Source organism: Homo sapiens, chromosome 7 (assembly GCF_000001405.40).
Source record: "Homo sapiens chromosome 7, GRCh38.p14 Primary Assembly".
In the NCBI taxonomy this organism is placed as follows: Eukaryota; Metazoa; Chordata; class Mammalia; order Primates; family Hominidae; genus Homo; species Homo sapiens.
The window spans coordinates 111,865,475-111,879,891 of NC_000007.14; the positions used below are offsets into that span (position 1 = coordinate 111,865,475).

At 40.3% G+C, this 14,417-nt stretch overlaps 1 protein-coding gene across 14 annotated transcripts in view, besides 1 other annotated feature; it reads right to left on the reverse strand.

The window, feature by feature from the left end:
- Positions 1–14,417, reverse strand: part of DOCK4 (dedicator of cytokinesis 4) — a 480,290-nt gene that overhangs the window by 139,365 nt on the left and 326,508 nt on the right. For all 14 annotated transcript variants that reach the window (XM_047421081.1, NM_014705.4, XM_006716189.3 and 11 more), the window contains exons 17-22: positions 11,556–11,712; positions 6,993–7,090; positions 6,795–6,878; positions 6,516–6,616; positions 4,100–4,181; positions 2,510–2,680 (exon numbers count right to left, since the gene is read on the reverse strand). In XM_047421081.1, coding sequence (XP_047277037.1) covers positions 2,510–2,680; positions 4,100–4,181; positions 6,516–6,616; positions 6,795–6,878; positions 6,993–7,090; positions 11,556–11,712 — 693 coding nt within the window. The remainder of the gene's footprint in view (positions 1–2,509; positions 2,681–4,099; positions 4,182–6,515; positions 6,617–6,794; positions 6,879–6,992; positions 7,091–11,555; positions 11,713–14,417) is intronic.
- Positions 1,771–2,970: an enhancer, noted in NCBI's record as "BRD4-independent group 4 enhancer chr7:111507301-111508500 (GRCh37/hg19 assembly coordinates)". NCBI's record gives its function as "activates an origin of replication core promoter dependent on BRD2, P300/CBP, MED14 and CDK7 cofactors, and independent of BRD4, by STARR-seq in HCT116 cells {active_cell/tissue: HCT116}" and the evidence as "EXISTENCE:reporter gene assay evidence [ECO:0000049][PMID:35650434]".

The following is a 14,417-nucleotide window of genomic DNA, read 5'->3' on the forward strand; positions in this document are numbered from 1 at the left end:
TTTCTGCCTATAAGGCAGCCTAATAGTAAAGCTTGGACAAATTCAGAGCCAAATTTTATTTGGCTGTAAATGTGGCAGGCAGGACTCTAAGACGACTCCCATGACCCTGTTCCCTGGTGGTGTTCCTGTGATTACATAATGTCACATGACAAAAGAGATTTTGCAGATGTAATTAAGATTACTCATCAGTTGACCTTAAAATATGGAGATTTATCCAGGTGGGCCTCACCCAATCACATGAGCTCTTAAAACAGTTTTCTCTGGCTGGTAGCAGGAGAAGTAGTCAGAGAGATTCAAAGCATGAGGAGGATCTGACATATTGTTGCTGGATTTGAGGAAGGAGCAGCCATGTGCCAAGGACTGCAAGTGGCCTCTGGCAGCTGACAGCACCTCCCCCCACCGGCTGACTGCCATCAAGGAAATGCAGACATTAGTCTTCTGAAAACAAAGAAACATTTCTGCCAATAGCATTAAAAGATCATGAAAGCAAATTCATTTCCAGACCTCCAGATAACACATGAAAGCTTACACTTTGATTTTGGCTTTAGGAGATCCTAAGGAAAGGACCCAACCAAGCCTGCCTGGAATTCTGACCTATAGAACTGTGGGCTAATAAATGAGTGTTGTTTAAAGCCATTAAGCTTATGGTCATTTGTTACACAGCAATAGAAAACTAACACATCGGATCCATTGAATTAGTGGTACTGCCTCTGCAAAGAGAGCATGGGATCAAAAGGGAACCTGGTACAGGCAGAGGTGTGTGGCATTTCTTGTCTTCCCCAAATACACAGAGGCAAAGTTCTCATTGCTTAATAAAGAAAACTAACCATTTTATCATTTTATATGGATTTTTTCTTAGCATCAAAAGAAACATCAATTATCACATCAAAATATATAGGTAAGTGATACTGCACAAAATAACAGAATGACTTCAGTAGAGTTTACAAAGATATTCAGAAACCTTATGGACACATTTACATATTATCTCTTGATTAAAAGCTGAGAGCAAAAAATATCAAATATGATTCTTTGAAGGTGCTAAAGTTGTTTCTAAAATTTGCTGTGGGATAGAGCTCAGAGAATCAAGAGCAGTGGGAGTCAGTGTGTTGAAGAGGTGAGAGCAGAGCTGCTCCACTCTGCTGTACCCCGGTGGCCCAAGCCACCTTAGGGGGACCTCCAGGATCCAGTGGTACAACTAAGGTAAAAAAAAAAGTCTCCTGAATCCCTAAGAAGAAACCATGCCTTACGGTTACTCTTAAGAGTAAGAAAATATTTTTCAGGTGTGAATTAGGCAAGTTTCATCTCTGTAACTGATAAAGGGTAAAAAGAAAAATCTCAGGACGAAAACTCAAATTCTGAATTACTTTTGTAGAGACAGTAAACTTCTAAGAACTCTGATCTGAAGGAATGCATGGTTAGCCTGGTGGATTATCCTGCTCAAATATCAAGTGCTGTCAGCAGGGTTTAGCTAGTAGTGGGCAACTTGACACTGAGGTCTCTGGCAAGTTCCCATAGTGCAGTGATTGTACTCTTGACTGCAAAGGCCAAAATGACATTTAAAAGAGCCTGAGTTATATCCTTGCCCAGATGGAAGATGAGTCCACCTCTATAAAGAAGAGAGGAACAAGAATAGACCTCTCAACAGTCAGAAAAAATACAGCACATTATCAGAGGGCTGGTGCATTCCCGGTGTTTTGCTTTCTGAACATCACATAGTACCAAATCATAACAATACTGTTAAGGATCTAATTTTGTCTCCTAATCTCCCTTTTTATGTCCCAGTTCTCAATGATTACAAGTTTCTCTAACCTCTAGGGCATGGTAAGAGGCTGCTTCTCCTTCTGACAGGTTTTTAACCAAGTCATTAGAATTAAAAGTATACAAGAAGAATCAAGAAAGTATAGGGAAAATATTCAGAATTACCTCATGGAACATATTCAAGGCCATGCTATTTGGGAAGTAGATGGATCCTGTTCTTAAAAAAAACATGTGGGGCTACTTCCGGTAATGGAGTTTGGCGGCAGCAGCAGCTCTGCACTGGTCTTAAAAGATCAGTCCCAGGATGATTAGGGTCAAGTTCAATAAAACAAAACAACATGCAGCTTAGCTGAGTCCAATATAATGATTCTCAAGTTGACAGATTAAAATGCAGTGAGAAGCTTGGGGAAAAGAACTGCAAGAGATTGGCCCTAGTGAAATTCCTTCCCCAGGGCTGGTGGTGACAGCATGTCCAGTCGTCAGTATGTGTTCTGGTAACCGGAAATGAAGCTGATGCAAACCAATAGCCTCTCCATGCAGAGAGAGAAGGGAAAGGCAACCCACTTCTGCTCAGCTGGTACACAGAAGGTAGGGGAATTTTAAAAGTCTACTCATAAAGTTGGTTAAGCTACAAATATAAACTGGAGCAATTGACTTCTGATGGAGAAAACATTTGATTACGCTGCTGTGTAAAAATAAATAAACTGCACTTATCGTTTTCTTCTATTCAGCATAGATGAAAAGAAATTACCTGTGACTGAGATAATGCTCCAGACCCTTTGCTCTCTTGCGAAAGAAAGAAACGGACTGACATGAGAAGCTCCTGAATGCAGCAGCGGAACTCCTCTTCGTTTTGCCCACCAGTGGCAAGGGAAAACAGCCTTCGAGATTGAACTATATACTTAAAAATGTATTCTTGTGCCTTAAAAATACAATTTTTAAAAGTTAGCTTCAAAGGAGACAAAGAGTATTTATTTAGCAATGACACGGCATAAAAACCATGGTATGGCATTAAACTTTTACATTATTCATGTAGACACCAAGGCCTTGTGAGGCTTTTTTGAACAGTATTTACTTTAAGGGGGAACAGCCACTTTTCTCTGATGCCTAATGAGAGAAAAAAAATTTAAAAACACTTTAAATTTAAAAGAAATTTAAAAGAAATAGAATTTTAATAGAAAATTTAAAAACACTTTAGCCGGGCACGGTGGCTCACGCCTGTAATCCCAGCACTTTGGGAGGCCGAGGCGGGTGGATCACCTGAAGTCAGGAGCTCGAGACCAGCCTGACCAACATGGAGAAACCACATCTCTACCAAAAATACAAAACTGGCCAGGCATGGTGGCCCATGCCTGTAATCCCAGCTACTTGGGAGGCTGAGGCAGGAGAATTGCTTGAACCTGGCAGGCGGAGGTTGCAGTGAGCAGAGAATGCACCATTGCCCTCCAGCCTGGCCAACAAGAGCAAAATTCCGTCTAAAAAAAAAATTAAAAAAAAAAAAATTTTATCATTCTGGAGTATGATGAACACTAAGTGTTTTTGACCCTCAGATGTTTTTTAAATTTAGTCAACAAAAAGATAACTGTTTTTTAAAAAATAATTTTGTTTTGACAGGTAGTACTCTTGCCACTTAGCATTTTACCTTCAATCAGCCCAAATTACAAATGAATAATTCACAAAATGCTATTTTATAAAATGTATACATTGTCTACTTAAAGCTACTGACACCAAATAGGATGGTCCTCAACAACAGGAATCAGAAGACTACCAGGGCTGTTACTGGACAATTCCTTTAAGAATTTGTACTCTTTTTCAACATGTTTGCAAGTAAGGGATTAGTATCTCCACAGACAACTGAGCATATGGTGCCCAGCGATGTGGGCAGCGTTAAGCCACAAGACCCGGTAAAGCCTCAGGTTTCCTCATTATAATCCCCGCTAAGCCACCCTATTTGCTCTTAAAATTTAACATAAATGGTTCTCCGATGGTCTCTGTCAGGTTGGTGGAAGCAAGAGCCAGGAACTTCTAAGCTTAACTGCCCCATATAGACTTCTCTCATAAACCCTCCCTCTCTCCTGCTCATCTTAGACTTCACTTCAAGTACTCTCCAGCCCAGAGGAACAAGGATTCAATCCTGAACAGTTTCCAGTAGACTACCCTGGCAAAGTCCCCTTCAAATTTCATCAGCTCTCAAGCAGTCACAAACTGATTAAGATCCTTGAATTGGAATGTCAGTAATACATCATCACCCATTACTGTCTGTGTAGAGGAACCAATTAGTTTAAGCATCAGCATGCAACAGCTTTGTTAGACTCTGCTGTTATCAACAGCATGTTATCACCTTCAGCACCTCCTGGATATGCTCTTGCCGCTCTGCTTCTGTGATCCGGTCCACGTACCATTTGAGCACTTTGATGAGATCTCTAAAATACAGGGGAAAATGTGCAGAATGTAAAATTGGTCTAATTCTCAATTAAATGCCAACAAATCCAACTCTTAACTATATCATGAGGAGGTTTCTTTTCCCATCAGTTCTCACATTTTCCTGTCAATCTGCTGTATAATAATTTTACTAAATCTGCAGATCAACACTGCCACCCTTTTCAAAGCTTAAGGGAGAAACAACACTCAATCTGGACATATTCCATAGCCCTGCTGTTTCTGGTAATGCCTCCAAATGGGTGAACACAAATATTGGAGAAAAGGACTGTGCCCAACCAAGTGCCTGGCAGTGTGAGTGCCATGGTCAATACTGTAAAACTGCTCATTGGGATTTCTTTCCCAGTGACCACGTAAACAGCTGGATGCAATATCATTAGGCTGCAGGCAAAACGGGGTGGGAAGGAGGGATGGAGACAATGCCTCCCCACTGCTATGCACACCTTATGGATTTATCAAGCCAATTTTCTGACCCATGAGAAGAACCTGGCTTATGTCAATATGTGCCTTAGGAGAATTTCTAGAAAGGCCAAGGTAATTTTTTTTCCTGTTTTGAAAAAATGTAAAAACAACAGCCCACAACTCTCAAGATGACAGTCTTACACCTTGAACTTTGGTCAGTTCTTGGTTTCTCTTTTTTCTTTTTCTTTTCTTTTTTTTTTTTTTTTTTGAGACAGAGTCTTGCTTTGTCACCCAGGCTGGTGTGCAGTGGCTTGGCTCACCGCAACCTCTGCCGCCCTCCTGGGTTCAAGCAGATTCTTCTGCCTCAGCCTCCCAAGCAGCTGGGATTCAAGTATGCACCACCACGCCCAGCTAATTTTTGTATTTTTAGTAGAGGCCCGGTTTCACCATGTTGGTCAGGCTGGTCTTGAACTCCTGACCTCAAATGATCTGTCCACCTTGGCCTCCCAAAGTGCTGGGATTACAGGCATGAGCCACTGTGCCCAGCCAGTTCTTGGTTTCTAGGAAACAGTTTACCCAGCAATGTTTCTCTGGGTCAGGGGAGAATACTTGGATGTGCCAGTAGGTAGATGTTGGTGGAGTGCTATTTTTTAAGATAACATGCTAGTGAGTTTCTGATCACCCCCAGCCTAAGAGGATTCCACAAGCCTTATTTGTCTTTTTAAGATCCTGCTTTCCTGGCCAACCGGAAGTGTGAGAAATTATACTCTTGTTTTCTAGCTTCCAAAGACAATTTAACTTGGAAGCAGTAACCTCCTCACACTAGGGCCCAAATTGTTAGGCTGAGTGGGCCGATGTTTCAAAACTATTCCTGCGGTTGCATTTCACTCTCAGCAAAAAATCACACTGATGAAGTGTCAAGTCTAACAAAAATACCTTCATTCATTTCGATGTTGGAGACGTCGATCTTAACCTGTCATGGCTGGGAATATCCAAGTAAACAGGATCAAATGCTTATCTGATAACCTATTAACCTTTATATATTACATAGATGGGGGAAGGATATCAACCTGATTTCATGCTTTTTAAACTCACCTCAGGGAACAGTCAGGCATGTGCATGCCCACAGGTGCTTAAGGTATAAGGTAGAAATATGGGAGAACAGCAAGGACCATATTGGACTGGGAGACAGACGATGGGGTACACTCCAAGGCTATTTAAGCAGTTATTTGTCGAACTAAAAGAGAGAAGCTGTGGCCTCTGGCAATTATCAACTATGTTGAGAGGAGGCAGGCACTAGCCAAAGCATAATATTATTCATAACTTTTCAGCACCACCTGAGCCAGTAGAAAAGGAGGAGCAGTTAAAATAGCAGCTCCTATCAAAGAGTAGATCCCAATGACTAAATTGCCTGAGGCCAGGGACCAGGTCTTCACATCATCAGCATAAAGTACAGTGCCTGGCAAGCAGCTGGCACTCAGTAAATCCTAACATAAATGAATGGATGACTTTCAGCAGGTGTGAAGGAAAAGGTTGTTTTCCATTCATATTTCTTTCTTATGAACATTTATAATCATCAGGGAGTACAGTGATGAAGTGGGACTCTTAACAGCCGAAGTGAGATAACCAGACATTTTAGACCAAAGAATATCCAGTGAAACAGAGACAAGAAGGAAAGACTTTATATTTTAGGGCTCAGGAATAGAATTCAGGAGGTTTTTTTCCCTTTTTAATCAAAATAAGTTCTACCCATTTAAAAAGGGTGTGTTAGCAGGGAAGAGACTATCTCAAGAGACACTTCAGTAGTGCTCCATTTCTTCCTACACTCCCTTTTAAATTTTCCTATATCGCCTCTTCTGCTGAGAAAAGCTTGAAAGGAACCACTTCTAAACTAATTACAAGATACAGGGCCTTACCTGTATGCAAGTGCCCCAGCAAAATGACTCTCAATGTAAGTGTCCATTACAGGTTTAAAATGATGAAATTTGCTATCTTGCAGCAAATTTATTATGTGAACCTAAAAAAAGAAAATTGAGCTTTATAAAACTAAATGCAAATCAAGGTTTTCCTTTTTTTTTTGCTTCTTTTTAAAATGAACTCTTACATTATTAAGCACATGTTTCTGAACCAGCCTCATGAAAGTCAAGATTGAGAGACAAAACAGTTAAAATACAATTAAGGGAATTTGAACTTACCAAAGAATCAAACACTTTAGACCCATATTTTTGGGAATTTTCATCTAAAATTCCAAATAAGGTATCCAGTGTATCCTGCAGAAACTGTTAGATAAAGAAGTAGCAAATGAGTAAATAAGATACTATCTGTCTTTTTCCTCCAAATGTTCTTTATTCTATGAATCTCTGCAAGGAAAATAGTAATGAAATACTATATACCTTTACTATCTCTGAGCCATCAATTTCTTTTAATTTAGAGAGACAGCCAGTGATCTTGTCTGGGTGGGTTCTCCATTTCAAAAGATCAAGCATATCACCTTTCAAAATAGAAAAGGAAGATTAATTGCCTTAATAGAGAACAGGTCCTCACATGAAAGCGTTCTGCTAGTAAAAGTAAAATTCTTAACACATGTGGCTCCCCTCTCCTAGCCACTCAAGTTGCAGGCTCCCACAAACTATGACTAGCCCTCTCTAGGATGGCATTTATTTCACTGTATTCTGTTTCCTCTCCACTGCTCTTGACTTACAAACTCCTACCCATCCTTTAGTCCTCAGATCGGATGTTGCTTCATTTTGGAAGCCTTTCCTGAAATCTCGAGCTAACTGTCCCTTCTACATGCTTCCACATCACAGTAGCACTTACAAATCCTTACAAATCAGGCAGGTGACAAATATTTGTTGATTAATTTTTCTGCCTCCTCCTGGAAAGATGAGAGTTTCTTGAGGGCTGGGAACCTGCTTTATTCCCGTTTGGGTGCCCAGCACATAGCACTCTGCCTAGCAACCAACTCCACCCAGGAACAAAGGTCTTCTTGGCAATGTGACCCAAATCTTGCAGACTAAAAGAATGGTAACAGGCCCAGTGATTTCTTAGATCATCCAGGGAGCTCTCAACCTGAGAAGAGCAGCTCCTGGACTCCACAGGCCATCTTTCATCCCAGAGTCCAGATAAGCACAGGGCCCAGCTCTTTAACCCTTTCCTAAACAGACATGAGGGCTTTGGTCCAGCAGGTCCTTAGAGAACCTCTTCACCTGGGGAGGGAATAAATTTATCTTTCTTGGGCAGAAGTTACAAAGGCTGTGGGAGATGGTCTCCATGCATTATTAGTCTCCAACGCATGCAGGGAGAGGTGGCATCTGGAGGCCAATGAATGCAGTGAGAACTGAAGGCTCGCGTGTGCCGAGCACGCGCAGGGCAGCGGGACCTGGTAGAACTGGCCTCAGGGCTCAGTGGAGTTGCCAGACTAGACTGGCCGAGAGAGGAGCCAGGACAGAATTTCCAGGCAGGGAAGCAGGAAATTTACTTCAAATCACTTGTTTTAGCAGAAACCCAAAAGGGACTTTCTGAGAAACAGAAAGATGATGAGGGAACAAAAACTCCAAACCCCCCAAACCAAGGAAGTAGGTAAGATGAGAAAGAAAAAGAGAATATAGAGAACACCAGTGAGAAAAAGCATTAAGAATCTCAAGGAGAAAGAGAAGCAAGCTCCACCAAAGCCAGATTCAAGAGAAAAACCTCACAAAGGATTTACTATTAATAGTAAGGAATTCAGTACCAAACAGGAATGTTTATCTGCAACAAACACGGGTAAGAGGAGGAGGAGGAATTAGAATGAGAAAAATAAAGTGATTTTAAAAATACTGACTTTGAAAAAGAGATTTATGATGTTTTCATAACCAAAAACCCTGAAAATGTTGACTATTCAGATGTAATTCAGACATCCTGGGGTATGACTGAAACCTTTTAAAACTGATTGGTTATATTTGGCATATCAGATATTTCCACAGAGTGAGACTCAGGGCGACAAAGGCAAAGCTCTATTGTTCTCCCCAGTTTGCTGCTTCCCTCCTACCTACTTCCTACTTCCTGCATCTCACTTCAGGAGGCCTCCCCTCCCTGGCATCTTCTCTTTCATAATCCCTCGTGCATTTCCCCTGCCATTCACTCCTCACTTCCCACTCCACCCCCATCCCAGCTCTCACTCCTCCTTTGTGTTCTCTTTCCCTTCCTTTAAAGTGAGGCAGTTGCAGGGGCCATCAGGACCCTGCTCAATGTGAGGAGTGTGGGGAGGAAGGAGGTGGCTATGCTGGCTACCAAGTGGCAGCAGTGGAGAATGAGGACTAGGGCCCATTTAAGTAGGGCTGGAAAACAGATTACAGGGGTCCAGAAAATGAGTCAGGATGAGCCTGCCCATCCTCCCTGCAAGAAGGCTGATGAATCTCTACACTGCTCATGATGGAGCATGTGGAAAAGCCCAGTAGTTATGTCCATCTGGATGTAATTAATCATGTATGCAAAATACTTCAAGTTCAGGCAAAATTGCTGTATCCTAGCTTTTTACTTTTGCCATCTGAGGATGTTAGTTGCAAATTAGGAGCTATAACCTATCACAGAAAATACCAATTTCTACATTCCATTCAACAGGCATTTACTAGGTGTATATTATGTACCTAACCTATCAAGAGCTATAAAATAGGAGGATGCCATGACCCCTAATCCTCTGAACCTTAAAATCTCTACCTGTTCTGGCAGTCACAGGTGCCCAGCATAGTGCTCTGACCTTGGTACACTGTCCATGTTGGACAACGCAAAGCGTGTGCAGACAGACACACTTTGGGAATTCTGAAATGCAAATTTGCTCTATGAAACTGCTCCTAGAGACCATATCACTTAGTAAATGCTGAATTGTAGTAGAAATAAGATTTGTATATTTTCCACGTCAAGAAAAATGAATACATAGCAATTTAATTCCAATTTGGAACTAGATTACTTCGACACAAAGATGTGTGTTTAGCATGTAAATTTCAGAAAGACCAACTAACTTCCTTCCTCCTTCCCATCTCTTGAAACATGCATTTCCTGGCTCATTTGAGCCAATTCTCATTGACAAGGTTAATCAAAGCCAAAATAATAATGAAACACTTATCCGTCTCCAAAGATGAGCCAATCATTGCATGGAATTCCGATCCCACTTTCCACATAGTGAGATGTTTAATATAATTATTTCATAAGTTGTTTTTTACTCATATTTACCTGAAAATGTTCTCTACTTTTAAAAAGTAGCAACTTCTAATTTTCAGGATTTGTTTCTGTCTTATTTTCATAATTGTGTCTAACATCCTAAACTCTACAACTAGCACAAATTCAGTACATAGGACCAAATATTTTGATGGAAGAGAATCTATTGTTAGGTTTACCTGTGTGGTAGGCAGAATAATGGCCTCAAGAACCTGTTCCAAGAATTAGGAGGGATTATGTTTCCCTCACACAGCAAAAGAAGACTGTACAGATCTGATTAAAGATCTTAAAATAGGGAGATTACACTGGATTATCCAGCTCAATGTAATCACAAGCATCCTTAAAAGATGTAAGATGGTCATAGTCAGAGAGATGTGAAGATGCTATGCTTCTGACTTTGAAGATGGAGGAAGGGGCCATAGGCCAAGGAATGCAGGTGGCTTCTAAAGCTAGGAAGGGTAAGAAAATGGATTCTCTCCATTCCAGGGGGAATGCAGCCCTGCTGGCACCTTGATTTTAGCCCAGTGGAACTGATTTTGTATATTTGACCTCCAGAACTGCAATATAATAAATCTGTATTGTTTTAAGCCAGTAAGTTTGTGGTAGCTGTTACAGCTGCAATAAATAAGTAATACAACCCCAAAATATTCTATTGGGGAAATTCAGTTAAACATGAATGCAAACTCTACTACCCACACACACCTAATCCACATAGAATAAATAAAAATTTCTGTTTAAGGATCTCAATAAGAGGTTGATTTTATTATCTTCATAACTTCTATGGGGGTAAACTGGCCCCATAAAAAAATACTTGAGGTTTGGTAAATGCTTTATAATCATTTATTGAGTTATGCCAATGGAGGTTTTATTTAAGTAAAATTAACTACTGAATGCTGATAAAACCTGGTATAACATATCTTAACTTGGTGTCCTATATAAATACAGTAGCAATGCATGTTGAAATTGAGAGGTGTTTTAAAAGTGGTCAAAATTTTGATGTTACATTTTCTTTTTTTCTGAGACTATGATCTAAAAGAAGAAATATTTCCTTCTACAAATGCTGTTCTCTGACACAGAAGAAGGAACTAAGAAAGAACGAATAACAAGCACACCTGTTTAGGCACAGGTTTTTATGAGACACAATACCTCATTATAAAGTGATTCTTCTCAACATAATGAATATAACTTATTTAATATAGCATTCGGGGTGCTAGCCAGAAGTCTTATATGACAACGATAAAAAACTCAAAAATGTTTAATTTACTTCCTTCATTACAGAAGATGTTTTCATAGCAATTTGCCAAGGAGAAGAGCTTGCTTTATTAATCATAACTTGCTAAACAATCACTGACATAAAAAGTAATGCTAGAACTGAAAAGCAATATGCATCTAATTAAACAAAAAACAGCCTTTATTCTAAAGCCTGCAATTAGCACTGTTTATGGAGCTATAAAACACGAGATTAAGGTGTTGGTATTTTCGTTTTTTTTTTTTTTTTCAAAGCATCTGGGTTTTGATGGTTTATTTAAAAAGTTGTGTACTTGTTTTTCAATACTGGGATAATTCTGAAGTCCTTCTTAAATGACATGCATTCAACAGGTCACTGGGTCACATTTGCTTCCATTTTACTAGAAATCACAAATGGAAGGATCAATAATTTTTCTAAAGTTCTTAACTATCACTTTGGTGTTTACTGAATATGCTTACCAAAATATACATGATTATTAGGTACTAGGGCTTTCAAATAAAACATTATACATTACCATTTTGTGTGAGTTTTGTGGAACAGAGAAAAGATGTAATACAAAAGGACTCCTTTGTGGCCTTCATGGCTTGATTATTATTCCCAAGGAAAATGCCCTTGGAAAAGGGAAGTTTGAGGTAGCGGGTAGTATCCTGAAGATTTGTGTTTTCTTCACACTGTTAAAAATATTTAAAAAAACATAAGGGAAGGGGAAGAGATCTCATAAGAATTATTAAGCATAATTTATATTACTAGTGTTTATAAACTGGGAAACATTCCAAACAGTATTACAAGTAGAATTTGGTTTTTAAATAAAATGCAAAAAAACTGTATAAAATAATTAAGCATAGATTTTTGGACTAAGATTAATTTGAGTTTGCATCCCAGCTTTGTAACTTCCCATGTGAGTGACCATATCAAATCAAATTATTTAACTACACACTGTTTCCGTTATCTTCTCTAAAATCTCATTGTGTTGTCATAAGAATTAGGTTATATAAAGCCTTTAACACAGTCCTGATACCTTGAAAATGATCAATAAATCATATTTGCAGTGACCATAGTATTTTTTTCAAAAACACTTAAATTCTTCCAACATCTCATCTGAGGCAGCTGTTAAACACTCCCTTACTTTGAAAACTGGCAATTAAAAGAGAAGATATTTCAGGTATTATAATTTGAGAGTCCTACTATGTGAGGGAAATCTCTACTTTCATAGAAAACGCCAGCTAACACATGTAAAAGCAATTACAGACTTAGAAAATATAATTTCATATCCCTACTGTAATTATTTTAGTCAAGGATTGTTGCTTAGTGCTAAAACCAGCAGAATTGTTGAAGAGGAATCGGATGTTCATATGATGCCAATGTAGCGACATACAGATTACTTCCTACTGGCAAGAAGACAAATATAACTGCATGTGGGGGAATCGAGCTGTCATTACACCAATGCAGGGCAATGCAAAGACACGTATCATCATCTACAATGCATTCTTACCAAAAGTGCTGAACCCCAGTCCATCACATCTAGATTCAACTTCCATATCACAGGAAACACAAGAGATAGAGCAACATGTTGAGCAACACTACAGGGAAGAAACCAGAGAATCCAAAAGATGGGGGTTTGCTGTAAGATGCCTGGTCTTATCTCTTTAAGTCAGTGTTGCCAAAAAAGGGATTGTTCTAGATTAAACAACACTTAAGAAATAGATAGCCAGATGCAACATATGGTCCCAGATTTGAACAAACCTGCTGATGTGTCCGACTTTTTAAAAATCTGTACATTGACTAAATTCCACATGAGATAAAAAACGTAGTGATCAGAAAATCATTAACTGAAAATTGGTGGATTAAAAATAAATATGAAGCAGACCAAGATGATGGAATAGAAGCCTACACTGCTCATTCTCCTGCGCCAACCCCAGAACACCAAATTTTCACAACAATCTGCACAAAGAAAAGCACTATCACAAGAACCAAAAATCAGGTGAGCAATCACAGTACCTGGTTTTAACTTCATATCCCTGAAAAAGGTATTGAGGAGGGCAGAAGAGACAGTTCTGAATCTCCAACGTCCTCTCCCATCTCCCACCCCTCCCCCATCCCCCGGCAGTAGCTATGCAGCATGGAGAAAGAATCTGTGCAAGTTTGTAGGATAATGCAGTGACTTGGGGACTTTACATTGAACTCACTGCTGCCCTGCCATTGAGTAGAAAATAAAGCTGTTCTGGGCTCACAGTGGCCATGCAAGGAGGGAGCATTGAGACCAGCCCTAGCCAGAAGAGACTCACCATCTCAGCAGCTGGAACTTGAGTTTCTTGGCAAGCCTTGCTACCATGGGCTGAAGTGCTCTGGGTCCTAGGTAAACTTAAAAGGCAGTCTAGGAGACAAGGACAGTAATTCCTAGACAACTCCTAGTGCTAGGCTGGGCTTAGAGTCCATGGACAAGGGTAGCATGTGACCTAGGGAGACACCTGCTGGGGTGAGTAAGGGAATAGTAAATCTGGCACAATCCCTCCCCCAACCCCAGGCAGTGCAGCTTGCAGCAACAAAAGTGACTCCTTCTTTCTGCTTGAGGAGAGAAGAGTGAAAAGTAAAGAGGACTTTGTTTTGCATCCTGGTTACCAGCTCAGCCACAGTAAGATAGGGCACTGGGCAGAGTCATGAGGCCTCCATTCTAGGCTTAGATGACATTTCTACACCCATCCTGGGCCAAAAGGGAGCCAACTTCCTTGAAGGGAAGGACTCAATCCTGGCAGGATTCATCCCTTGCTAACTAAAGACCCCTTGGGCCCTAAATAACCAGCAGTGTTACCCAGGGAGTATGCTGCAGGGCTTGGGCTCTGAGACGTCCTGGCTTCATGTGTGACCCAGCACATTCCCAGCTGTGATGATTACAGTGAAAGACTCCTTCTGTTTGAGAGAAGCAGAGGGAAAAGCAAAGGGGGCTTTGCCTTGTACCTTAGGTACCAGCTCAGTCACAGTGGGGTAGAGCACCAAGTAGGCTCTTGGGGTCCCCCAGTACAGGCCTAGGCTCTTGGACAGCATTTCTGGACCTGCCCTGGATGAGAGGGGAGCAGGGTAAGTCCCAGGTCTGGCAGCATTCACCACAAGCTCAAACAGATAATTCAAAATAGCTGTTTTGAGGAAACTCCGAGAAATTCAAGATAATACAGAGAAGGAATTCAGAATTCTATGAGATAAATTTAACAAAGAGATTGAAATAATTAAAAAGAAGCAGAAATTCTAGAGTTGAAAAATGCAACTGACATGCTGACGAATGCATCAGAGTCTCTTAATAGCAGAATTGATAAAGCAGAAGAAAGAATTGGGAAGCTTGAAGACAGGCTATTTGAAAATACACAGTCAGAGGAGACAAAAG